At 47.2% G+C, this 26,986-nt stretch overlaps 1 protein-coding gene and 2 long non-coding RNA genes across 5 annotated transcripts in view, besides 1 other annotated feature; 2 read left to right on the forward strand and 1 right to left on the reverse strand.

The window, feature by feature from the left end:
• NUTM2B-AS1 (NUTM2B antisense RNA 1) overlaps positions 1-2,441 on the reverse strand; it is a 135,095-nt gene extending 132,654 nt beyond the window's left edge. For all 3 annotated transcript variants that reach the window (NR_120613.1, NR_120611.1, NR_120612.1), the window contains exon 1: positions 2,045-2,441. This is a non-coding gene — a long non-coding RNA (NUTM2B antisense RNA 1). The remainder of the gene's footprint in view (positions 1-2,044) is intronic.
• Positions 1,472-2,070: an enhancer, noted in NCBI's record as "H3K27ac hESC enhancer chr10:81585381-81585979 (GRCh37/hg19 assembly coordinates)". NCBI's record gives its function as "activates a minimal SCP1, AML or CMV promoter by ChIP-STARR-seq in naive H9 embryonic stem cells {active_cell/tissue: H9 hESC(naive)}" and the evidence as "EXISTENCE:reporter gene assay evidence [ECO:0000049][PMID:30033119]".
• LOC642361 (uncharacterized) lies at positions 1,749-3,449 on the forward strand. Its single transcript, NR_029407.1, has one exon. It is a non-coding gene; the product is annotated as an uncharacterized LOC642361 (long non-coding RNA).
• Positions 2,586-26,725, forward strand: NUTM2E (NUT family member 2E). The gene is made up of 10 exons (NM_001355263.2): positions 2,586-3,204; positions 14,156-14,433; positions 14,627-14,962; positions 15,475-17,969; positions 20,020-20,719; positions 22,677-22,805; positions 23,778-23,917; positions 24,360-24,742; positions 25,218-25,334; positions 25,668-26,725. The coding sequence occupies exons 4-10, from the start codon at positions 17,588-17,590 to the stop codon at positions 26,451-26,453; spliced, it is 2,637 nt and encodes an 878-aa protein (NP_001342192.1). The 5' UTR covers positions 2,586-3,204; positions 14,156-14,433; positions 14,627-14,962; positions 15,475-17,587; the 3' UTR covers positions 26,454-26,725.
• Positions 26,726-26,986: the final 261 nt, after the last annotated feature.

Consider the following 26,986-nt stretch of genomic DNA (forward strand, 5'->3'; position numbering starts at 1 on the left):
CAATATGTGGAGGTTGATATAGTCAACATACAGAATATTTCCATTACCACGGAATCCCTCATGTTGTTCTTTCCTAGCCACATCTATTTTCCTCTTTTTCACCTCATCTTTAACCCTTGATAACCACTAATCTTTCCTCCATTCTCATAATTTTGTCACTTCAGTAATGTTCTACAAGGGAAATTCTACATCATATAATCTTTTGTGGTCAGATTTATTTACTCAGCATAATTCTCTGAAAATTTATGGAAGTTGTTGTCTATATCAATAGCTTGTTTCTTTTTGTTGCTAAGCAGTGCTTCATTGCATGAATGTAATACATTTTGTTTAAACTTATTCACACCTTCAAAAATGTCTGGGTTGTTTCCAGTTTGGGGTTATTAAAAATAAAGCTGTTCTGAATATTTGTGTAAAGTTTTTGAATTAACGTGGTTTTTAAAAATTACTCTGCTGTAAATGCCCAGGAGTGAAATCACTGAGTCATAAAGTCATTGCCTGTTAAACTGTTTGTTTGCTTTTTAAAGAAAGTATCAAATTGTTAGAGAATGGCTTTGTTATTTTACATTCCCATCAACCATGCACCAGTTATGTAGTTTCTTTGCAGCCTTGCTAGCACTCAGTGTTGTCATTATTTTTTATTGTAACTATTCCATTGGGTATATATTGAAATCCCATTGGGGTTTTAATTTTTCATTCCCTAATGGCTAATGATGTTGACGTCTTTTCATGCTCTGATTTTCCAAACATATATTCTTTTCAGTGAAATGTATATTCATGTCTTTTGCCCACTTTCTAATTTGACTTTGTTCACTCTTAAGTTTTGAAAGTTCTTTATATATTCTTGCTACTAGTCTTTTTCAGACACATGGCAAGCAAAAGGGGAAGGAAGGAGCACCTTTTTACTGTCAAGTTGAGATGAAGGTCAAGGTTCCCCATTAGGCCTCCTTTGCCACACAAAAAGTAAATACTCTGTGTTTTTAAGATAAAGTGATGGATGCCAAGAAAGACTCAAATTTTTTTATGTACTAATCATAAAAATGAACTATGATTTATAATTCTTCTCTTCCATTTTCATTATACATAAGAAAACAAAATACATCATTCTCAATAATAAGAATTCTGAGTGAAACTCACCAGTTCACCTTAGCTATATTTTCCCTTTTGGGTTTCTTTTCTTTTACTTTTTTTTCTCTCTCTCCTTTTTCTTTAAAAATTTTGGAGTGTGCAGAGGGATAAGGGTGAGGGAGCGTGGCAAGGAGAGGAGTTCAGATCAGGACAGGGAATGGAGGAGGGCAAGGAGTGAAGGGCACAACCCACAGCCTGGGAAAGAGAGGCATGAAACCCAGCGTGTCAGGTGGACGGATCATGGAATGGGGGGCCAGCGGAGGTTAAGGAAGGAGGGCCCAAAGGTAGGGGTGGGAAAAAGAGAAGAGGAGGAGGAGGAAGTGCGCGTGTGAAGAGTGTTAAGAAAACGACAGGACAGAGCGGGGAGGGGAAAAGCGGGCCGAGGGACAGGGTGAAAGGTGAGAAACGAGGGTAAGAGGAAAGAGGGCCCGGGGCGCTGGGGAGTTGGGGAGACGATGGAGCGACAGGTAGAGCAGCTTGGGCCGAGCCGCGGGGGTGGAATCCAGACGCCGGGCGGGGGAGGGGGCGGCGGGGCGGCGGGACGGTGGGTGGGGGCCACCAGGCGGCGCCGGAGACCACCAAACATTACAGCGAGCGAGCCTGCTTCCTGGAGGGAGTGCAGACAAGGACCAGGAGCGGGAGCCGAGCCTCGCGGCCCGGGGCACGGCGCCGCCTGCCCCTCCCCGGCAGTGCCTCCCGACCCCCTGCCCTCCGCTGGGACATGGCCTGAGGCCCCGCCCGCCGCCCGGGACCCCTCCCCCACGCTGCCCCCGGACCCTCGCCCCAGGACCGCGGGGTCTCTTCCCGGCCCCGCCGCCCGCCCCGGCGAGAACAGGCCCGGCGGGCAAGGCGGCGGCGGACCGAGGGAGGCCTGGCCCGGCAGCGGGGAGAAGGGTGCGGCGCAGCCCGAGTTTCCCACCTTTTATCCTGGCCCAGACGCGGCTGGGGCGGACGGGACCTCTCGCGCTCTGCCTCCTCCTCTTGCTTCATGGAGCCATGCGCCTGGGTGGGGGCTCCCGAGAGAAGCTGGCCTGCGGGCGGGCCGGACGCGCTGCGCGGACGGGACGGGGCGAAGGAGGCCGGCAGGCGGAGGAGGAAGCGGCGGGGCGGCGGCGGCGGCGGCGGCCGGGAAGAACTAGAGGTATTCCCCGGGCGGCTGGAGGACTGAGTCGAGCCGGGACCCGAGTCCTCCGGTATCCCAGCAGCCACCGGAGGCAGTGAGGTAATGGAGGAAGAATGTAGGGAGTCCTCCGGTGGACCACACTCCTTCTAGCGAGCCGCGGAAACCATAGAGATCAGGGCTCAGCCGGAGGGCCGGCCCACTGCTGTCACGTGGCCTCCATCCGTGCGCTTTATTGGCTGGTGCTGGCTTTACGGGGTTGAATTTTGGACGCTGCCTGCCATTCGTGGGACCGAGTTTCAGGCAGCTGGAATAAAGAGAGATATCGGGGGAAAGCCGCGAGAAGGCCAGCGTCCCTCGCTGGGAGCAGAGCTAGCCGAGTAGGGCGCCCGGCTGTCAAACTGGCCGGCGCAGTGCACGCTGGGCCGCCCCGGAGCGATCGCAGAGCCCGTCGGGAGTCGTAGTCCCGGACGGGCCCGCGGCATCGTCCGCGACGCAGCTCGGGATCCGGGTCGGGGTGTCGGCCGGGTTGCTGCCGGGCACCGTCGAGCGTTAGCCACCCAGCATTGAGCTGCCAGCGGCTGTTCTCCCTAAGCACCCTCGCTCACGTCGCCTCGCCTCGCCTGACCGGCCGCAGCCTTGGATACCAGCCTTAAATCGAGCCGACTACGGCCCAGCCCCGCCCGCGGCGAGGTGCGCGGGGTTCGGTGCGAGCCCCTCGCCCCTGGCCGGGCCAGCCTCTTGATGCACCGGGGACGGGCGCGCCCATCCGACTCTTCGAGGGGCGGCAGGGCCCCATCTGTGTCTTTCGCTCTCGAGCCCCCAGCTAGAGTTGGCTTCAGCGGAATACCTACTGTGCGGGATTATTCAACAAGCCGATTGATCACATTCTTCAGCTCTAGCAGTGCAAAGGCTTCACTGAAAAAGAACATTACAACTTTTTTGAAAGAAATTTGGGGGTAAATTTAATTTTAAATACTGATTTTTGATAACATTTGATCTTATGACAGCATTTGTATTTTTAATTACAGATAGGATTACACTAAAAGTCATTTCTGACCTGCTCCCTTACCCTTATGGCTAAAATAAACTGCTAGGCCCTGAAGCAAAGGCGAGCCATGTTCTAGAGCAATGTCTTTCTTGTATTAAAATACAGCCCCATGCTCACAAAAAAAAAAAAAAAAAATTTTGGAGTGTAAACATATACATCATCTTAATTTGAGTCCTTATGTGTTGACGGTGTGCAGGGAAGAATGGGAAAGTAACTGTAAGTGGAGCCCAGAAAGAACTAACAAATTCATGAAAAAGTGACATTATTGCTGGTCTATTTTTTTTTTAATTTTCTGCTTCCTCACACTCTCCCATACTAAATGAATTATTTAGTGGTTTTTTTTTTGTTTTTTTTTTTTTGTTTTTTTTTGTGATACGGAGTTTTGCTATTGTTGCCCAGGCTGGCACGATCTTGGCTCACCGCAACCTCCGCCTCCCAAGTTCAAGTGATTCTCCTACCTCAGCCTCCCAAGTAGCTGGGATTACAGGCATGCACCACCGCGCCCGGCTAATTTTTTGTGTTTTTATTAGAGACGGGGTTTCTCCATGGTGGTCAGGCTGGTCGCAAACTCCCGACCTTAGGTGATACGCCCACCTCGGCCTCCCAAAGTGCTGGGATTACAGGCGTGAGCCACCGTGCCCGGCCGACAGGTGTTTTTTATGAGTTACAGACTATGTGCTTTCAGAATGAGGCAACTGATTTAAGGATGTAAGCATAATTTAAGGATATTGAAAATGATATAGGAATAAATTTGTTTAGTCATTCATGGATTTATTCATTTTCAGATGACTATGTGTGTGAATATTTAAGAATTCTAAAACCGCATGGGATTACTTATAACTGTATAGGAGCCTAACACGATAATGGAATCAGAATATACTTTGCTGAAGGTATGAGGCTTTTAACTGAAAGTCTTCTCTCTACGTTTTTATGTCTGTAACAAGAATCCACTGAAGACCTACATTTCCCGGAAGGTTAACAGCCCCCTTCTCAGTTTTCCTGGTAAAGTGTTTTTATATTGGTAGAATACCTTCTGTCACACTCTATATTTTTCTTATCTCAAGTAGAAAAAATTTTTGCCCTTTTGCTTGGGACTGTTAACAGCCCTGGTAGTGGAAAAGTAGAAGGAAATGATTCTGTGAATTTTCTGTTATATAAATTTTAGCCAGTTTAGGACTTTTGAATGAGGGGCCATACAGCCAAGGATTTAGGATTTCAGCTCAGGAAAGAAAACTACATAGGTGTTTAATCGTGTCCTAGCCACTTATTAGCTGGGTAACTTTGAGCAAGTTTTATACATATCCTTCCCATGAGTTTTTCATTTCTAATACTGGCTGTGTAATACAGTATGTTTCATAGGCTTGCTGTAATAATCGATGGGATGTATCTAATAGTGTTTATTTTACTGTAACTGGGCCACAGTTAGGAAGTTCTCAATTAAAATTAGCTGTCATTATTCCTAGTATTAATATGGTGATGAACAGCTAAAGAGCATTTAAATAATTATCATTAATATGGATAAATTTTGACCATACCTGAATAAATATTTATAATATAACTGTTGAGAGTATACAAGTTTAATATTTTAGGGAAATACAATGTCAAATTCTATCAAGCTCTATTCTCAAACTAAAACAATAGCAGTTTGCTTTCAGATATTTTGAATATTATTGTGACATTTCCCCCTTCTACCTTTCTGGGACCTTGGACACAGGAACCATGTAAGGGTAAATAGTCTAGGTCTTCGTTGTGGGACAGGGGTGATATACTACAGTTCCACAGGGGCTGAGCCAGGTTTCAAGGGTGAGATAGAGAGCTGATGGTAAAAATAACAATGAGAGCAAAGGCCAAAATGTATGGAGTATTTATTATGTGTCAGACATTTTTCACTAAGCATTCTAGTACAATATTTCTTCAGATCTATGAAGATCTTAATCTTAAGTAGTAAATGGTTTTATTATAACCACTATACAAAATAGAAACACTAACATAAAAAGGTTAAATAATCTGTTTAAATTATCTTGGATTATCAACCCAATCAGCTGTGTCCTCAGAACAGAAGCTGGTAGCACTACACTGAACTATACCACACTTGCAAGCCTTCAGAGGAAAATTCCCTAAGAGAAAATGGTATCTATGACTCAATATTTCTTCCCATACCCTCAGTGACTTACGGTATTTATTTACTAAATGCCAAAGCAGATAGTCCAATAGGAAATACGTAGCTAAATGGCCTGCGAAGAGAAGGGAATGTCAAATAACAGGCAAAATAGAATCTGACACCCTAGGTCTCAGCAAGTGTTTTGAATGGACAATAAAGAAAGTGACTAGAATGTAACCTCTGAAAAAATGTTGTGAAGCACCAATGGCCTTGAAAAAATCTAGGGAGCTGATGTAAAGGACATCCACTTCATAATGACAATTATTGAACAAATTACTTGTTGGAGATGGAGTTGCAGACAAAACAAATATTTACCACTGCTTTAAAATACATTTATTGTACTCAGGAGAAGAGTCTGGAACTGTGGTTTCAGAATGAGCTTATCCAAAAGTAAGAAGAGGACTGGGGCATACCTTTTAAAATAATAATGATATATTTATAATCATCCTAGTATGATTTATTTACCTTTTAGTAAATCAAGTTCTCAGAAAACTAAAGTAAAAAAATCTTAACATTACATATGCAGGACTTAATCTGAATAATCATAAATTTTCATAAACTTAATTTACATACCACACCATAGTAGCTGTGATATAGTAAATTAATAAGTTTTTTGTACTATGGTGTAGCTCTTTCATCCTAAGAATAAAAAAGATTCTATTATGTCAAAAGACATGCATCTGGATGGTTAAAAAAATCCAATCATACATAACTGAAGAAAATGTAGGTATTTTAGTGGAATAAGAATGTGATATATGAAAACAGAAAAATAAATATCTTCAATGTTACTTAAAGAAACAGAATTAACAAAGATGTATCATGGAAGAGAGGATAGTTCTGTAAAAACACGTAAAATAACTTTCAAAGATGAAAATTTTACATATGTAAAAACATTTGTCAATGAAAGTAATAATAATTCCATTCATGCATTTGTTCATGTATAACCAATAACTTACTTGTGATGCCATAGAAAAAATTCAAGCATCAAACTGAAAAGCAAATTTTAATAGGTAAGAAACTAGTGGCCTTTAAGCTGACAATATATTTGTTTGAATAAAAAATATTATTATTTTAAAATAATCAAATTAGCAAAATACAAAAAAAAGAACATTTCACATGAACATCTTAATTTTTGGTATGTGTTTAAATATCAGGACATTTACTCATATTCTTCATAAACAGAGTTCATAAGTCTTAGTAGATGCTGCCATGTGTAGGCGGGTTGTCTTCTCTAATTATCCTCAGTCCCCACCATTCCATAGTGCCCCCAGTAGAGATATTACTGACATTTTTCATTTATTGCCATAATTTAGCTGTTGTTTTTCACAGTCAGCTTGCCTTCTTTATTTTAATATTTATATACCACGTAGGCATCTCAGTGTTTCACTCTTGCTATGAGACAGCCATAGATCTCTTTTGACCTAGAGTTTTTTATTCTCTTTGTTTTTCAAAATTATTTTCCCTAAAAGCATGGAACCTATGAGCCTCCAAATAGTGCATTTAAACTCAATCACCTCTAGAAAACAATGCTAAACTATTCAGAAAGAATGAAGAGAATAAGTGAATTCTCCAAACCCAGAGCTAATGAGTGCCAGCTCTGAAAATGAGGTCCTTGATTCTTGACATCTGGCCTAGTGTGCCTAGGAAGTATAATCAGTTACTCTGACTCAGTCATTTTAATAATTGAAGTAAACTACTTAACAGTTAAACATTATATACTTAAAATACTTAAATTAGCTTAGATATAATCGAAGAATTTCACTTTTTAACTCCAAATAATGAAGTGTTTGGTTGTAGGGTATTAGATCTTTCATGGAAGAAAGTAGTCCCGTAAGTCTAAGTACAAATTTCAAATGTAAAATAAAACTGATCAAGCCAGAGACCAGGTTTGGCAAAAAGTATCATTTGATATGACTTGTAAAATGTCAATTATTGTGAACAATTTTAAAAAGACCTCATCAGACCATATTGCATGTTCTCGTAAAGGGGAAAAGAAGTATATAACAGCATGTACTGAATACTTTATACCCATTATACATCGGGCTTTTTAGATTCATTCTACCATTTAATTTTTATGGACATGCTGGGGATACAGTATTGTTATCATCCTTATTCTTTAGTGAGAACTGAGATTTACAAAAGAATAAGTAAATTTTCCAAAATTAATTACTGATAATGTGTACACAGACCATTTCCAAATTCATGAGATAATTGCTGTTTTAGTTACTTTGGGCTGTTAAAACAAATTACCGTAGACTGGGTGACTTAATCACAAAACGCGTGTTCTCACAGTTCTGGAGGCTGGAAAATTTAAGATAAAGGTGCTTGCACATCCAGTGACTGATGAGGGCCTGTTTCTTTGTTTGCACATGGCCATTTTCTCATTGTATACTGACATGGCAGAGACTGAGAGAGAGAAAGAGATTATCTCTTTGATGTCTCTTCCTATAAGAGTATTAATCTCATTCACCAACTAATTACTTCCCAAGGGCCCACCACTGAATACTATCACACTGGGGACTAGGGTTTCACCATACGAATTTTGAAGGCACATAGACATTCAGTTTTAGCAACTGCTAACAATATTACTCTTACACAACCATTTTTCTCACTTAAATATTTTCAATTATTTAATAAATGGAAGCAGTGGGATTACCTTGGTATGGCCATAAGAATTTATCTGGGAGATGTCTATGTGTGTGTGCATGTGTGTGTGTATGTTTATCGTGGGGAAGAAGTTTGTGAGTAGAAGCAGCGGATTGAGAATCTGGATAATAAGAAAATATTCTATTGATCCTGGTGATTTGAATGTACGATAGGAGCTGGTTGTCAACTGATTTAATCAGTGGGTATTTCAGTATGAGGCATAGTTGGTGACTGAGCTTTCATGTGGTAATCTGAGGTGAATATTGACATAGAATTAGAATTATAACTCACATAAATTCACACAAAAACATTTTTACATTGCCTACTGATTTTTATACATATAACCAAGAAATAAAGTATATGGGGGCCACCTTTCTCCAGGGATTTATAGGGTAATTAGATGAACTCTACCAATAATTATAAAAATAAGAACTGAAATAACAAATGCATATTCTGAATTACAAAAATCATTCAAAGTAACAAAAAGCCTATATCTTTGATCCCAATAACCTATTTTAATTTTCTTTTTAAAATAAAAGTGTTAGAGGCAAAAAACAGCCATAACTAAACCAAGTACAGATAAAGGAAATAAGAATGAGAAACAGTGTATGTGTGTGTGTATGTGTGTGTGTGTATATGTGGGCATGCCTATAGGTATAGTTGTGTGTGAATTTAAGTGAACACACTTACTAATTGAATAAAATACAGTAAGTGTTTGTATATGTATCTGCATGTTTGTGTCGTATTTTGGAGTTGTTATTCAGCTTTTACAGAATATTCAAATAGAAAACCAAATAAGATTGTCACCTATATTGCATAAATAACCAGAGAAAAGTCACTTATGTGGCCATAAAAGAAATGTTGAACATAGATGCAGAGAATTCTATTTAGAGTAAGAATGCCCACATGTATTACAGTCCCCAAAAAGCAATTAAGCAGAAGAAATTGCTTTCAGAGCTTGGCAAGATTTAAAGCGTTACCATTAAAGTTTGAGTTGGATGTTACTCCATGAAGAGAATATATCCTTAAACACTGCTGCCCTGTGCATCAGAACATACTCACTCCGATATTGGACCTGTTGCTGGTTAGAAATGTCTTGACAAATGGGATCTAATTAAACTAAAGAGCTTCTGCACAGCAAAAGAAACTACCGTCAGAGTGAACAGGCAACCTACAGAACGGGAAAAAAATTTTGCAATCTATCCATCTGGCAAAGGACTAATATCCAGAGTTTACAAAGAATTTAAACAAATTCACAAGAGAAAAACAACCCCATCAAAAAGTGGGTGAAGGAAATGAACAGACACTTTTCAAAAGAAGGCATTTATGTGGCCAAAAACGTGAAAAAAAGCTCATCATTACAGAAATGGTCATTACAGAAATGCAAATCAAAACCACAATGAGATACCATCTCAGGCCAGTTAGAATGGCAATCATTAAAAACTCAGGAAACAACAGATGCCGGAGAGGATGTGAAGAAACAGGAACAGTTTTACACTGTTGGTGGGAGTGTAAATTAGTTCAGCCATTGTGGAAGACAGTGTGGTGATTCCTCAAGGATCTAGAACTAGAAATACCATTTGACCCAGTAATCCCATTACTGGGTATATACCCAAAGGATTATAAATCATTCTTCTATAAAGACATATGCACATGTATGTTTATTGCAGCACTATTCACAATAGCAAAGACTTTGAACCAACCCAAATGCCCATTAATGATAGACTGGATAAAGAAAATGTGGCACATATACACTGTGGAATGCTATGCAGCCATAAAAAAGAATGAGTTCATGTTCTTTGCAGGGATGTGGATGAAGCTGGAAACCATCATTATCAGCAAACTAACACAGGAACAGAAAACCAAACACCACATGTTCTCACTCAGAAGTGGGAGTTGAACAATGACACGTGGGCACATGGAGGGAAACATCACACACTGGGGCCTGTCGCGGGGTGGGGGGCAAGGGGAGGGATAGCATTAAGAGAAATACGTAATGCAGATGACAGGTTGATGGGCAGCAAACCATCATGGCACATGTATACCTATGTAACAAGCCTGCATCTTCTACACATGTATAACTTAAGTATCATAAAAAGAAAGAAATGTTTTCATTAATAATATTTCTCACCTTTTCTAGATATAAATTTAATTCACAGTTGGGCAGGGCATGGTGCCTCACACCTATAATCCAAGCACTTTGGGAGCCCGAGGCAGGCGGATCACCTGAGGTTAGGAATTCAAGACCAGCCTGGGCAACATGGTGAAACCCCGTCTCTACTAAAAATACAAAAATTACTACTCAGGAGGCTGAGGTAGGAGAGTCGCTTGAACCCGGGAGACAGAGGTTTCAGTGAGCCCAGATCACGCCACCATACTCCAGCCTGGGCAACAGAGCGATGCTCCATCTTAAAAAAAAAAAAAATCAAAATAAAATACAATAAAAAATAAAAATAAAATTTAATTCACAGTTGTAACCAGCCTAAATTAAAAATATTTCTTAAGAAAAAGATTGAAACTTTATGTTTTAGATAGTTGTGTTTTTATGACAGAATACCTACACACACACACACACACACACACACACAAACACACAAACTAAAGAACTTTTTCTGTTATATATCAAATCATACTTTTGTTAGTGTGTTTAATTTTATTTTATCTTTCTCTCTGTGTGTTTCTCTCTCTCATCAATTTATCTATTATCTGTCTCTTAATCCATCCATTCATCCTTCCATTCAATCTTCTATTACTTTTAATATTTTTAAATAAACTGCCTTGTTGCTGTGATTTGTATTAATGTAGACTGGCAGAGCCTGAAATGACAGAAAGACTTTTATTTGCATGGAATCTCCTGGAATCAGCTAATAATTCACTATGGACTCTATTTACTCAGATTAATAACTGTGCAGAAATGTCATTACCTGAAGAGCACAAATCTGGGGACAGACAGAATTTTAATCATGGGCTCTGTCATGACTGATTGATTGGTGATTTTGGTTGCTTAAATAATCCGGACTCTAGTCTCCTCAATTATAAAACAGGGAATAATAATGGACTTAACTTTATTATATGTTAAGCAACATAAATTGCTTTGGGTATTCAAAGAAGATAATTAATTGCCGTGGATTAGGAATCTGAAATAGAAGCTTGAATTCCCAGGAGTGAAACAAATTTAGCAATATTTGCATGACTATTGGAGAACCAGACCACTTAACAGGTATACATATGCCCCTCTGACTACCTCCTAGATATTTTCTGCCACGTCAGCAGTAGGCAGAGGACCAGTTGGCTTAGTGTCTATATTGTTTACATGTGGCAGCTCAAACAATGTGATATGAATATGAACTAAGGAGGGAGACACTTCACACTTAACATCTGTTCTTCAGTTTCCCCAACAGGATGCCTCCAAATGTGAAAGGAAACTCATCAATAACAAGCTGAGAAATGAGTCTAAACAACTGACATTTTGGAATAACATATTTGACATTTGTGAGGTCCACTGGTTGTGGCTTAATCAAGAAAGCCATCAGATATCCACAGTATCCATCTTTTAGGCATACACATCTAAAAAACACATCCATTTGTCTTATTTTAAATCCATATTTTAACGTTCAAAATATTATTTCATGGATATTTTGCCACACGATTATGCTAGTTTTTACTATTTTCTCCCCTAGTGTGTAAAAGTACAAGAGAATACAAATTCCTTGGCAAGTCAGTTATTTAGTCATTTCAAATTTTGATATTTCCAGAAGTCATAAGAGGATTCTTCTCTCACAGATGTGATTATGAAACACATTTGATTTACCAACTTTTAGACTTCTGTTTTCTACAAATTAGCTCTCTTGCGCAAGTGGAGAAATAGCATATGTATTTGGTACTAAGTTTCCCTCATAATTGTCAGAACCTCACCATTTATTGTTTTGTAGAAACTGGGCTTTAAAAAAAATCAGACCATATGGTAATTTTGATATTAATACTCTTTTGAAAGACTAAGTGAATGAACTAGTCATCTATATTCACTGATTAAAAACAAAATAAGACAAACTTATTCCATAGTATAGTACTTTGGGTTTGTCTAAAAAAAAATTCATTTACAAATACTATTTCTGAGGGACAATAGCATTTCTCTAGGATACATCTATGTACATGCAACTGAAGAAAATAGCTTTTAAATTTACTTTATCTCTTGTAGTAGTTTTATAGCTACATAAGAGTATTGTAATGCAAAAGGTACATCATAAAAACTGCTTTGTTATATGTTGTGTGCACTTGTATTTGTGTATTTACATATCGACAGCGTACTCACTATTGTTCAGTAGCATATTTTATGATGAATGATGAAACCAGTACAAATTACATGTGAATTTGACTTATGAACTCTTCACATCCACTACCTCATAAACACTACAAGCTAGAGAATGTAGGGACTTGAATCCACAAGCCACAGATGTCAAGATTAATCTATTACGTTTTGAGTACTTGAAACTGCCTGTACAATTAATTTATAGCTGTTTTTTAAAAAAGAAAATAGAACTGAGAAGTGCTATAGCAATCATACTTTGTGATTTAAAAGAAAATAAATACTATTAGTTCATGCCCAGAAAAACAAAAACAAAAACAAAAACTATGGGAACTTTATTACCCTTATCTATACTCTCCCACCTGCAAGAAAAAATGCCTCTCCTCACAATGAATAACACTAGAGGAAATATTTCTGCTTAGTTTTAGAAGGAAGAGAAAAAAAAATTGTGAAACATTCATCTGTAAATAAGAATCTGAAGGAAAAGGCAATGTGGAGGAGGATAGGGCATGACTTCACTGCTGCGAGGGAGATGTAGCCTGGCAGGCTCACAGTGACTTTTTCATAGTCAGAGCCACCTACCCAAAGGTAGAAACCAAAGCAAGTATAAATCAGAAAAATAATCCTCAGTATGTTACATTTAATGTCAAAACATACTTTGTAGACTATGTGAACTGCAATCTTATTTTGAGAGCTAATGTAGAATTATGATTATATTTGGAAGCCTGATTCTGTTTGCCTGATTTGGTCCATTTGGTTGTATATTAAGGCTTGAACATAAGGTTTGTGATATAAAGCTGTCTTTAAATAGGCTCCATGACATTTCAAGTTATCTGCTGGGAAATAATCAACTTTTTCAAATTCATAATAGCCTTGCTTTGGGGAAATTAGTTTTGATTTGATGAGCAAATGGATCACTAAGGATCACTGAGGTGGGGAGTAGTGAGGGGAAGCAGTCATAGAAACCACTAGTTAACACATGTCACGGCTAATAATATCAGGTATTTTGATGCTAGTGTCAATGAGATCCAGCATGCCAGTTAATTTCAAAGAAAATAAACAACAACAAACACTTTGATTGTGTTATACAACCTGCAGTCATTATTTTCTATTAGCTGTTATCTACCTGTTTATCCATTGATTGATTCATCAGTGTGTGTATGTGTGTGTGTGCATTTCAGAATGGAATGAGTGATGAAAATTATATTCTTTCATGCATAGATATTTGTAGAGGGCCTGCTGTGTGCCAGATATTAAGCAATTGCAATTGAGTAAAATAGTATTTAAAAACTACTCACAGCCTTCAAGGAGCACAGCGTCTAACTAGGGAACTCAGACAACTAAATAGGCAATTACAGTGTAGGATAGTTCTGGGGATCAGAAAACAAAACCCCCAAATGAAAGCCTCAGCTGCAGCCTCAGAAACAAACATTTTTCTCTGACCTTCTCCAGTCCTCTTGTCTCTCAGTTCTATTCTCCCATAAGGCTGGCCATGGAAACTAGAATCTCTCTTCCACAACAGTGGGTCATAGTAGACAGAAACCCTAGAACCCCTTTTCTCCAAAGCCAGCCATAAAACCTATGGCTTTACTGCATTTTTTATTATGTCTTTATTTGTAAATCCCACATAAGTAAGCGATTCTCATGGAAGCTTTTCTTGACTTTGGCCACACTCTTGCATCCACAACCAACTTGTGCTACCAAGTGAACAAACTATGACTAAAGGCCTATTCTTCCACTTTGCAGCTGCTCCTATCAGTGACAAATCAGTGTATTAGAACATGCATGCTGGCTGATCATTCTGATCAAGTCAACAAGCTTCACAACTTACTCAATGAGGTCGTCCGTGAGAACTTCACTGTTTTACGAGGACAGGAGCTACTTCTTTGCTGAACTGCATCACGGTTTCAACTGCTGAGGTTTTCTTCAAGCTTTTGCATTGTTTGGAATGTGAAAGGCACGGCCGAGACACACTTTGAGGTTCCCACTGCATTGTTACACCTCCCCCCTCACTTCAGGGCCAGGTGAGCAAGGGAAAGGAGCGCGGCCTGGGCATCCCGCAGGGCCCCCACTAGGAAAGCTATGAACGCTTCCGCCTTGAGCACAGCCACAGGCCTGCTCTGGTCACAATGTGGGGTCGCCCCGCGGACACTGGTGACCAGTGGGAGCATGACCAGGAGGTGATTACCTTCTGATCACCCTTGGCTTTATTTTTAGGTAACACCAAGAAGGACGCCATGAGAGCGAAGGCCGTTGGGTCACCGCCCTTTGCTCTCGCGCTGCGCGTCTCCCTGCCATCAACCGCCGCAACTGGCGCTGGGAGCGGTTGAGGGCGGCCGGCCTCGCGCTGGAACCTCGCCCGCCTCAAGGCTCCTGCGGCGGCGCACAGGGCAGGCCAGGAGCCCGCCCTAGGAGGGCCCCGCTGGAGATGTGGAAATGGAGGGACGCGGCACCTGGGTGCTTCCTGGGGCCAGACAACGCCCCCTCATTGGAACCTCCATGACCGTGCCTCTGAGAAACCAGCGCGTCCGCAACGATCACTCCTAATTTTCGGTAATACAAACCTGCAGTCCATGCACCTAGGTAACACCCTTGCTGAAAGGTTTACCTTTGGAGGGTTTATCCTAAAGCAAAGTATCCTCAAATTGCATGTCTTGCATTCCCTTTGGATGGCATTGATTTCATTCCTGCTCATGCCTTTCAAAAAATAGTATGCCCTGTTTTCCTACTCAGTCTGGAGGTTCCATTAAAGAGTATTTCTGGCAAAGATTTTTAGACCTGAAAACACACTCCAAAATATACTTTCTTCTGACTCCATTCCCAGAGTTTTTCCTACCGCATTCAAATGATTTCTAGAAATGTTTTTGTTGTAACCTTGATCAATTTCAGTCGATAAAGCAGCAGATACTAAGGGAACAATTCCACGCTCCCCACCCCTGACTCTGCAACACAGTGCAGAATTCCAGTTGGCAATAAAAAACTAGTAGAGAAGCAACTCACTGACTTCAGTTTGTAATACCTTCAGAAGAAACTTTAATCGTCACATCCTTTCTGCTCATTTGCAGGATTCCTATCATCTGTCTCCACGTGATAACACTGAAGAGCCTTCACATTGATGCAGGCCCAGGGCCTCAAGTGCAGAGTCTGAGAGCTCTGCAGGACACAGCATGGAGCCGCCATTCCTCTACTGGGTGGAGGAGCATGTGTCCTCTGAACAGGGGATCCAAGCCCTGAGATGTTCTTTCTCAGCTGTCAGTGCGGCCCAGGACTTTCTGTGGGGATGCTCAGACAGCAGGGGCCGGAGGACTTTTAGCCACCACCTCCCATGGCCAGTCTTCACAAATTACCTTTGGCTAATTTGACTGTCTCTCCTCCTGGGGTCTAGGACTTCAAACATGTACAGAAGCGATTGCAGAATTAAGACAAGACACTTCCACAATATATTTTTTGTATCACTGGCTCAGAAAAAGACTCATTCAAATCCTGTATCAAAGCCACATGTGAGAATCTTGAGAAAGCATCAGCTGACTGACTTGACAAGGGAGGAAGCAACCAAAAATTCTGCGCTTCTTCAGTATCTGAGTATGATATTTTGCTTCAACATCCCTCTTAGATGAAGTTATTGATTGAAAATCATTTAAGTTTGCCCCATGGTAAAAGATCAAGTCCTCAGAAAGATCTCCAAAGTGTTTACAGTTTGTTTTGTTTTGGTAAGTTTACCATGATTTTGCTTGAATTGCTCTCCGTTGATCTTCTCAGCTAAGATGGAGGTAGAGTTGCACAGTGGAAGAGGGCTGCATGTAAGAAGGCAGTTCTGTCTCAGAGGACAAAAGGCCTGGGAGCACCCAGACAGACAGTCACTGCATGGAGGTCACTCCCCTCCCAGTGGCCACTGTGGAGACATTTCACAGAAATGCTTGCTGGACCATTCAGGTTCAGAGTTGGGACAAAACCGAGAACTCATGGGGATATTGGACAGGAGTTAGGAAATGACCTTCTCACACAACTGGGGCAGTGGGGGAGAACCCTGGGCTTGAGACTTGCAATCCACCACTTGCCCCTGCCCCTGCCCCTGCAGTGTGGCCGCTGTTACATTTTCCTGCAACTCTGCCTTCTTGAGTCCAAGTGTCTTCGAAAGGGCAAATGCTTCGTAAGTGCCGACAGGGTGTGTTTCAGTGAATGTTTGCAGTGTGCACCGGTCTGGCTGAAGGCCTCTTCCCTTCCCCAACACCCTCCCATCGTGCAAAATTACCCTGCCCAGCAGGGAGTGATTTGTGTGTCTCAGAAGATTTTGTTGCTGTGCTCTGAGTTCTCACTCCTCATCTCCTTTGACCAGTTTCTTCTAATACTCCCCTTGTTCACAACACAGAACATGAGTGCTCTTTCCTATCATTTTGATACTAATAAACGGACAGTGATTCTCAGTGTGGAAATGAGAATGAAGCTTTTTTTAAAGACAGGCTACAATAATTCCCATGCAGAGAACCACATGCCATGACACTGGATTCCAAACAGCAAGAACGTATGGTGAAGACGAGGCCAACAGTGAGCTGAGAGAGGCCAGCCAGGGTGTGTTTCAGTGAAGATGAGAAACAATCAGATAACACCTGTTTCCTCCAGGAAAGAAAATGTGGCCAGGGAAAAGAGATGGGAGGAAGGCTGGTCATTGCCTATTCCACTGTGCACAGTTTGAATTTGGAGCCATGAAAAGTATTGCTTGGTTAAATTAAAATCATTCAAAAGATAAAACATAAACATTTAACACCAGCACAATATGCTGGGAAACAAAATGAAAGGATTTCTGGTCTCGGTGCTGTAGGTCACATAGCCACTCTTTCCTGGATTGAGGCTTTCCAGCAAAGGGGCTGGGACGTAAGGCTGGCCTGCTGGTGTGGACAGAGATTCCAGCAACATGCATGACCTGGGGGTACAAGGATTGCTTCCTAAACAATGATAAGCACACAGCCACCTAATAGTCTGGATCGGCTGAGACCATCCTGATTTCAAACACCCAGTCCCCTTGCCTTCCTAAGAACCCCTGTGTTTCTCAGACTGAAAATGTGTTTTGAACTTTGTTCACGAAGTGAGGCCGCTGTTGAAATTCGTCAAGACTGGGAAAGAGCCAAAGTGGGAAGGAGCATGGGTTGATTGGCACAAAAGTAGGTCTGCTGATAAAGAATGGAAGTAAAGGGGCCATCAGGTAGAAGCTTTTGCTGTGAGTCAGAAGGACAATTTAAAAGTTGCCTAAAGAGGCACACGCCATCTCTGCTGCTGCCTTCCAGTTGGAAGGGAAACTCAGGTTCTTGCCTAATGGCCGAAGCCCTTCACAGAACGTCCCCCACCCCTAACAGCTGCCCACTGCCCCTCCCCCTCTGCAGAATGTCTGGGGTCCTATGTTCCAGGAACCTGTTTACTTTCAAATTTTCCCTGTTTCAGTTGGACTCAGGAGCATCTGGTGAGCCAGGTCACTCTCTGGGTCTTACCCTTGGCTTTTCTTATTGCGGAAACTGCCAGACGGCGGTGGTCAGTGCCCAGCCTGAGGGGATGGCTTCGAATGGAGGTAAGCCTGTAGGGATGGGGGCATTATCTGAGTCTGCCATGCCTCAACTCCTTAGGAATTCAAATTTGACACTGCCCCGGGGACAGTTGATAGGGCTGATGTTGAGGAGGGAGGGAAGACTGGATGTCCCCAAGGACATCACACCTGGGGATGGCCATGGCACCCTGAGTCTGTGTTTAGGGAGGACGGCCTCTTAGAGGTGGAACAAGATGGCTGGGGGAATACACCGTGTAGGAGAAAGGACAGAGTGGATGGATTGATCCTTTCTAGAAGGAGACAGGTCACGTCATTGTGTGTTTGTAGGGAGTGGTGGGATCATGTTGTGCTGGTGGCCCCGGGAGGATGATAGGCAAGCCTGAACCCTGTGCCATATCTTCAGGCACCTGGAAGGTGCCCTTCCATAGTGTTCAGAGAGATTTGGACTGGAGTTTTCTAGATCTTAGGGAGGAGTGGGGAGAAGTGGTCTCAGCCAGAAAACTGTTGGGTGGGTTGGCTGTGACAGAGCATGTAGTGACAGCCCCTGGGTGGGCGAGGCTGGGGGCTGCTGTAACTGCCACAGCCCAGAGCCCCTCAGCTCTCTCCCTAGAGATGGCTTCTCCGTCAGTTCAGGTAGCTGTTGGCTTTGATTTAACAGGGGTGGGGGCAGATGAGGAAGTTCAGGCAACACAGGGCCTGGGTTTCCTGAGTTGTTCTGAATTGTTTGCCCTTTTGTGGAAGCTCAGGTCTTCAGACCCACTTCCTCTTGTCTGCTAGCTCATGGCCTGTCCTCTGCACTTTGTGTTACTGTGGAGATGAAGAATTTGCTCCTATTCCATTTATACTACCTCATGAACGGGGGGCAGGTGTGGATTCTTGCTGGTTCTCAGTGGAAGGGTCTGGAAAGGCTGGTTTCCTTTTCAGTAGAGGAAGGAGAGTAGCGCACGAATAGGAAGATGGTTCTCTTATTATTATTATTCAAGTTAGGATACGTGTCCTGAATGATGAGGTGCATGTGCTGTATCCCTTATTCCCCTTGACTAGAGACTGCATGAGGTCCTATTGAACAGGGATGAGTTCCAGACAACTTTGCCTCACCCGGCCCATGGCCCAAGAACCCCTGGTTTTTGGTTGGTCACTATGTTCAGTTATTGGGAGCTCAAAGGAGAAGGGCCAGGGATGGGCTCCTTGTCCCACTACCTATTGTAACATGACCAGCAGCTGTGAAAATCCCTAGACACCTCCCCTGTTAGCTCTGCTGCTCACCATTTGCTGGCTGTGTTCTAATCGTGTGTGGCTTTTGCTGGCTATGCAGTGACACTGTCTCAGGGGACTCCACCACTGCCTCTCAGACCTGCTCCCTGGGAACAGAGCTTCCTGAGTGACAGCCGGGACCATCGAGTACTGCGGAAAGGGTGGCCCGAATCTGACCCCTATTTAGCACTTGCTGTGGGTGGTGCCAGGACAATCACTTGCATGCTGGGCATGACGAGTTATGGATTATCTTCAGGGTTCCTAGGGCGCTGGCTTGGGAAAGATTTCCATCCAGTGGTTTTGTTTTGGTATGTCTGAGCTGGGAAAGAAAGGGGTTTACAAGAGCGTCAGGAAAAGGAAGATTGAAGAGGAGATGGGGCCATAACATTCGGAAGCTTCTGGCTTCCTGTCGGCCTTCTGAGTGCCGAGCACTGCCCTGGGGTAGGCCCCTCACCTGTTGCTGAGCACGCTGAGGACCACCAGGCCGCTGAGAGACTCATCCCTGACCCATGGCTTGGGAGATGCCTGTGAGGCTGACAGGGTCTGCCAGGGACACCCGAGGGAGACCCTCGGGCAGCAAAGGCTTGGCTGTTACTTCTTGGGAGACAGGGGTCAGGGAGTCTTGGTGACCGGGGCCAGGCTCTCTAGTGGAGCGACTCTCCGTGGAGGAACAGAGCATCCGATGCACACTCAGGGACATTTGCAAGCTGCAGTTTCCCTGTCATACGCCCTTAGCTGTTGGGACTCCCCTCTGATTCCCCAGTGACTAGTGTGGACCTGGAGACCCCAGCTCATTCACCTCTTTCCTTTGTCTCCACAGCATACCCAGTGCTGGGACCGGGCGTGACCGCGAACCCTGGCACCTCCCTGTCTGTGTTCACGGCTCTGCCCTTCACCACACCCGCTCCCGGCCCAGCACACGGGCCGCTCCTTGTGACTGCAGGGGCTCCTCCAGGCGGCCCTCTGGTGCTGTCTACCTTCCCCAGCACACCTCTGGTGACAGAACAGGATGGCTGCAGCCCGAGTGGGGCCGGGGCTTCCAACGTCTTTGTCCAGATGAGGACAGAGGTGGGGCCTGTGAAGGCCGCTCAGGCGCAGACCTTGGTCCTAACTCAGGCCCCCCTCGTCTGGCAGGCTCCAGGCGCCCTCTGCGGAGGTGTTGTGTGTCCACCTCCCCTACTCCTGGCAGCTGCTCCTGTGGTGCCTGTTATGGCTGCCCAGGTGGTTGGGGGCACCCAGGCCTGTGAGGGAGGCTGGTCCCAGGGCCTTCCTCTTCCACCACCACCACCACCGGCTGCCCAGCTGCCCCCCATTGTGTCCCAAGGGAATGCTGGGCCATGGCCACAAGGGGCTCATGGAGAGAGCAGCCTGGCTTCCTCCCAGGCCAAGGCCCCGCCAGATGACTCCTGTAACCCCAGGAGTGTCTATGAGAACTTCCGACTCTGGCAGCACTACAAGCCCCTGGCCCGGAGGCACCTTCCCCAGAGTCCTGACACCGAAGCGCTTTCGTGCTTCCTCATGTGAGTGTCCTCGGGGCATTGGAGCTGGTCCTGCAGCTCACACGTAAAGAGGCTGCTGGATGGACGGGAGGTCACGCTGTTCAGGGGAGCTTGCAGGGCGGTTGTGAGGGTGATGGGCTGCACTATGGGAAGGTACATTTTCAACCATATTAATCTGGCTGCGGCTCAGGACAGACTGTCAGGGGCCTCATCTCAACTGCCCGTCACTGTCCCGTGAGTCCAGCCAATCCTTACTTTCAATAATTTTCACAACAATGTTTACAGAAGACCCAGGTCAGAGAGGGTTCCTGGTGTGACGTGAGCTACGGTTTGGGTTTAGGTCTTTGAGTACACACCCCAGTGCCTCCCCTTTAACCCAGTATTGATGGCCAGGAGCACCTCACATGGGGCCGGGGGGAGGAGCTGCAGGGCCCAGCAGGAACCTGGCACATGCCCGCAGTTCCGCTGAGGTCCAGTTAGCACAGCGGTGGTGGAGCCTGCACAGGGGGATGGTCTCGGGCCCTGCACTGGGGCCGATGCCGGGCAGGTATTTGCATCTTCACCCTCAATCCCTCCTAGAAAAAGGGACAATGATGCTTCATTCAGAGGATGGTGAAGAGATAACTTGAGCTCACATATGACATGCATAGCACAGTGCCTGGCACATGCTATGATACATTACATGACAGCAGTTACGATTACTGTCCCCATTACTATCATTATCAAGACTAGGCCATCTAGGAGAGCACTCCCCAAAGCCACGGGCTCCAGTGATAGCTCTGAGTGCACCATGAGTCCAGCAGCCCAGGGCCATGGACTGTGGTGACTGTGAGGCAGCAACGTCAGCATCTGGGAGAGTTTGTGGTTTCATTCCCAGTCCCTGCCTCTCTCCACCCTGCGGTGCCTCTGTGACCCTGTGTTTCCCGCTGATGAGCAAACGGGAGCTTGAGCACATCCACCGTGCAACACACTGGCCGTTCCCCTAGGGAAGTCCCCTGCCTGGGGTGTAGGTGGAAGGTGGCCCCATTTTCATCCCCCAAAATCTCGCTGTTCCCGCACCCTGGAACTGGTTGCATTCCTCCTTGGAGCGGAGTCCCGGTGCACTGGGGACCCTGATTCTTGGGGTGGAGCTGCCCCAGGCTCACAGGCCTTTGCCATGGCTCCTGTGGGAATGTGGGATCTGGACCTGCTGCTTGCAGTGGCGTGGACACCGCTCTGCTTTGGTTCTGGACGTGTGCTCCTGCTCCTCATGCTCCAGGGCCCTGAGGCTACGTCCCCAGGGGCTGCCTTGCTCCAGAGTCCCCAGGAAGCCGGTTAAATGCTCAGTCTTGGGGCCCTGGAACCTGCACTTTAACCCTCACCCCCAGGTCATTCTGTGTGCACGCTGTCTCAGTCAGCTCAGGCTCTGCCGTAACGAATGCCGTAGACTGGGTGCTTTATCAAGACACATTCATGTCTCCCAGTTCCAGAGGCCAGAAGTCCCAGATCAAGGTGACAGCAGATTGGGTGTCTGGTCAGGGCCCTCCTCCTGGCTGGAGAGAGCTGTCTCTGGCTATGTCTCCTCGTGGCTGAGAGCAAGAGCCCTGGCGTCTCCTTCTGCCCTTATCAGGGCTTGGATTCCATGACTGGGACCCACGCTCATGACCTGCTTTAACCCTGATTGCCTCCAAATACTGACACACTGGTGCTGAGGGCTTCAGCACAGGAATGTTGGAGACACACATGTTCCACCCATAGTACTGAGTCCACTTCTCAACACTGAGGACTCGAGGGGCAGTCGGAGAGGCCACTTGGTAGCTTGTGTTGATGTTTGATCTTGGGGTTGTGTTCTGGGGCCTGAGGAGCCCACATGGGGGAGAACAGGACAGGGACAGATGGCAGGACAGGTGTGGGGAGGACAGGGGCCAGGTGTTGGGACCAGGTGGGCTTGGGATGAAGGGTGGGCTTATAGACTGAGACTGACTGCACTGGTTTACAGCCCAGTTCTCCGATCGCTGGCCCGGCGGAAGCCCACCATGACCCTGGAGGAGGGACTGTGGCGGGCCATGCGGGAATGGCAGCACACGAGCAACTTTGACCGGATGATCTTCTACGAGATGGCGGAAAAGTGAGTCTGGGGTCCTGGGAGCAGGGCCCGCGTGGCAGGGTGAGAGTGAATGACAGAGGCCCGGTGGCCGTGGTGGCTTCTCAACGTGGAGTATGAGGAGGGTGTGGAGAAACCCAGGACACTCTGGGCCCCTGGCTCCCTCAGGAAGCTGCTCCTGCCACCTAGAGTGTTCTGGGGTCTCTGTCCTGGCCTATTGGGAAGCACCCCCTGCCTGGCCTGGGGCCATCCCTGCCTTGACACTGGAGGTCATGGCAGGAGCAGCCAGCATCACAGCCCAAAGTGGGTCACCTCCAGCTGTGGGGATGGGGAGAAGGGGCGCTAGTGACTATGGACAAGAGTAGGGTGCAGGCTCCTCACAGCAGTGGCCAGAAGTCGGTTTTCTCCCATCCCAGCCTGGCCAGGGAGTTGGGTTGGGGAGATCTGCACCTGGGACACCATGGGACCCATCTCTGGCCTGACTGCCTTTGCTCCTGGGCAGTCCCCTCCATGAAGGCAGACAGATAGACAGCAGCCTCAGGGGAAAGGAGCCCTGTCCTCTGAGCTCAGCTTTTGCTTCCTCCTGACCAGGGGTCTCCCAGGCCTCGTGCCCCTGGGTTATCTTTCAGGGGCCCACAGTCCTAGCCTCAGGACTCCTGCATCTGGGCATCATCCCTGATGCCTTCTGCCATAAATCCCACCCCTGGCCAGCTGAAACCTGGAGGAGGGGTCCCCCGAGACCCTCCTGGACCTCGTGGCCCTGAGTTGAGTCAGGAAGCCCCGTTGATGCCATGGGCTCTGCAGGGGCCGGGTGAGGGAGGGTGAGCCCAGAACTCTGGGAGCAGCTTTCTCCTGGGACTGGGGGATGGGACACAGTGAGGGCCTGGACAGCCCACCCGAGGCACTCCCTCCTATCCCTGCCCTCGGCCGCTGCCTGGTCCTGCGGGGAGGGGGCCTGGACCCTCTCAGCACAGCCTGGGCCTCCTTCACCGCCAGGTTCCTGGAGTTTGAGGCTGAGGAGGAGATGCAGATTCAGAAATCGCAATGGATGAAGGGGCCCCAGTGCCTGCCTCCTCCAGCCACACCGAGGCTTGAACCTCGAGGACCCCCGGCCCCTGAGGTGGTCAAGCAGCCAGGTATGGCTTCCCACATTCCCACAGGAGCCATGGCAAAGGCCAAAAGGGCCAAGGGAGGCCACTGTCCCCACACCCCATGCTTCCCTTCGAGAGGGGGATTTGCTCCCTCCAACAGGACAGTTTCCAGGAGCATATGTTCGGTATTGACCTGGTCAAGTTTCCTAGCTACTCTCTCCCCTCGCCTGTCCAAAACTCCACATATGCTCTGCCCAGGAAGCAGGGATGAGCGGGGAGAGTACACGGCATATTGGTGGCTCCAAACTTCCTCCCAAGCGATGCTGTCTCAGATGTGCCCCTCCTGCCTCCTCCGGGGGCGCTGCGGTTCAGGTGGTCCTGACCCAGCTGGGACCCACTTCACATCCCCAAGCCCTGCCCTCCCCTGTGTGGTGCGAGCAGGAGGAGCGGCCCTCACCACGCCCGTCCTCCTCCCTCTCTGCCTCAGTGTACCTTCCCAGCAAGGCCGGCCCCAAGGCCCAGACTGCCTGCCTGCCACCACCCAGACCCCAGAGGCCAGTGACCAAGGCCCGCCGGCCACCACCCCAGCCCCACCGGCGAGCAGAGACCAAGGCCCGCCTGCCACCACCCAGGCCCCAGAGACCAGCAGAGACCAAGGTCCCTGAGGAGATCCCCCCAGAAGTGGTGCAGGAGTATGTGGACATCATGGAGGAGCTGCTGGGGCCTTCCCTCGGGGCCACGGGGGAGCCCGAGAAACAACGGGAAGAGGGCAAAGTGAAGCAGCCACAGGAAGAGGACTGGACGCCCCCAGACCCGGGCCTCCTGAGCTACATTGACAAGCTGTGTTCCCAGAAAGACTTCGTCACCAAGGTGGGCTGGCCTGGAGTGCTGGGGTCTGCTGGATTCCAGGGGCTGGCACTCCCAGGTCCTTGGAATTAAGCTCTGTTCCTTAGCTACTCAGCAGTGTGTGTATTTCCATGGATTTGAGTGTCTGTGTATGTGATTGTGTGTGTCTGTGTGTTTGTGTCTGTGGTTTGTTACTGTGTGTCTTTGTGTGTCTGTGTAGGTGTGAGTGTGGAGTGTGTACGTTACCTGTGTCTGTGTCTTTTCCTGTGTCATATGTGGGTCTGTTTGTGTGTCTGTGTGTGGTTTGTGTGTCTCTGTCTGTGTGTGTGTAGCTACCAGGTCTGTGGTCTGTGTCTGTAGCTGGTGGTCACCATGATATGAGACAGCCCCAGGAGGGTGGGGACGGGGCGCTCGCTGCTTTCTGCATCTCCTCCAGGTGTCCTTGGCTCCAGGTTACTCCGTGCCCAGGAAGCTCACACCTTCTTCCTTCTGTTTCCAGGTGGAGGCCGTCATTCATCCCCAATTCCTGGAAGAATTGCTTTCCCCAGATCCACAGATGGATTTCTTGGCCCTAAGCCAGGACCTGGAGCAGGAGGAAGGACTCACCCTTGCCCAGGTACCCCAGGGGCAGGAGGGACCTGGCACACAAGGCCCACCTGATTGTCTAATCCCCCCCGCTGGGGATGCTCGGCTTCTTGGGGAGCCACTCTGGAGTGGGAAGATGCAGGTTCAGAGGGAGTAGGATGGACAGGAGCCAGGGAGGGGAGTCAGCATGCAAGCTGTGGTGAGGCCCAACGGGAGGCCCGGCAGAGCCACACCCTCTCTCTTTGACATAAAGCCCAGCTGCCTCAGGCTTCCCTACCTGCCGCCTAAGTGCCCTGGTCTCCACCACCCTGGGCCCTGCTCACACCTGGGGCAGTGCCAGTAAGTGCCCCCTTTCCTCCCGCAGCTAGTGGAGAAGCGCCTCCCACCCTTGAAGGAGAAACAGCATTCGAGGGCAGCCCCTAGTCGTGGCACAGCCCGGTTGGACTCAAGTTCTTCTAAGTTTGCAGCTGGCCAAGGAGCAGAGAGAGACGTCCCTGACCCCCAAGAAGGGGTTGGCATGGAAACCTGCCCACCCCAGACGACTGCCCGGGACTCTCAGGGACGAGGCAGAGCACACACTGGCATGGCCAGGTCCGAAGACTCTGTTGTGCTTTTGGGATGTCAGGATTCCCCTGGGCTGAGGGCTGCCCGGCCAACCTCTCCTCCCCAGGACCACAGACCCACCTGCCCTGGCGTGGGTACCAAGGATGCCTTGGATCTCCCTGGAGGGTCTCCTGTCAGGGAGTCACATGGGCTGGCTCAGGGGTCAAGTGAGGAGGAGGAACTCCCCAGCCTGGCCTTCCTCTTGGGTTCCCAGCACAAGCTTCTGCCCTGGTGGCTACCCCAGAGCCCTGTCCCTGCCTCGGGCCTTCTCAGCCCAGAAAAGTGGGGACCCCAGGGAACTCATCAGTCCCCATCTGCTGAGAGAAGAGGCCTCAACCTAGCACCTTCTCCTGCCAACAAGGCCAAGAAGCAACCTCTCTTTGGAAGCCTGTCCCCTGCTGAAAAGACACCCCACCGAGGGCCTGGGCTCAGGGTCTCTGGGGAGCAATCCCTGACTTGGGGGCTGGGTGGCCCCTCACAGTCTCAAAAGAGAAAGGGTGACCCCTTGGTCTCCAGGAAGGAGAAGAAGCAGCATTGTAGCCAGTAGGGGCTTCTGAGCAGGCTCTCTGGGGCCAATCCCCAAGGATGGGGCTCTGGCATCCGATGCCCCAAAGCGGTCAAAAGCTTCTTCTCCCCCAGTGCTGATCTTGCTGGGCCTTAGCTTTGGAGGGTAGGGGAGGGAGGGGAGGGAGAGGGTGGCTGAATGGGGAGGGCAGGAAGGGAGGGTCTGGGGGGAAGGGGCTGGGGAGTGGGGGTGGGAAGCAGTGTGTTGGGGGCCTCGTGTGTAAGTGTGAATAAATGTAGTTGTCTTGGAAAATGCTCTTGGGGCTGCTGCCTCTGTCCTCGGTGCTGTGCTGCTCCGTGGAGGGTGTCTGTGAGGGAGGGCAGAGGAACTGGCAGATGCCAGGCTCTGGGAACCCACAGGGGCCGGCCCCACTCTTTCCTCCTGATGTAGGGAGCCCCTTCAGATGCTCCAGGGACTGACAGATGCTGAGGAAGCCCTGATCCCTCCCACTACCGACTCACAAGGCCCTGCCTGCTTTAGGGAGGCTTCTTGGGGCCCCCCATCGTCATCAGCAT

Source organism: Homo sapiens, chromosome 10, assembly GCF_000001405.40.
Source record: "Homo sapiens chromosome 10, GRCh38.p14 Primary Assembly".
Classification (NCBI taxonomy): domain Eukaryota; kingdom Metazoa; phylum Chordata; class Mammalia; order Primates; family Hominidae; genus Homo; species Homo sapiens.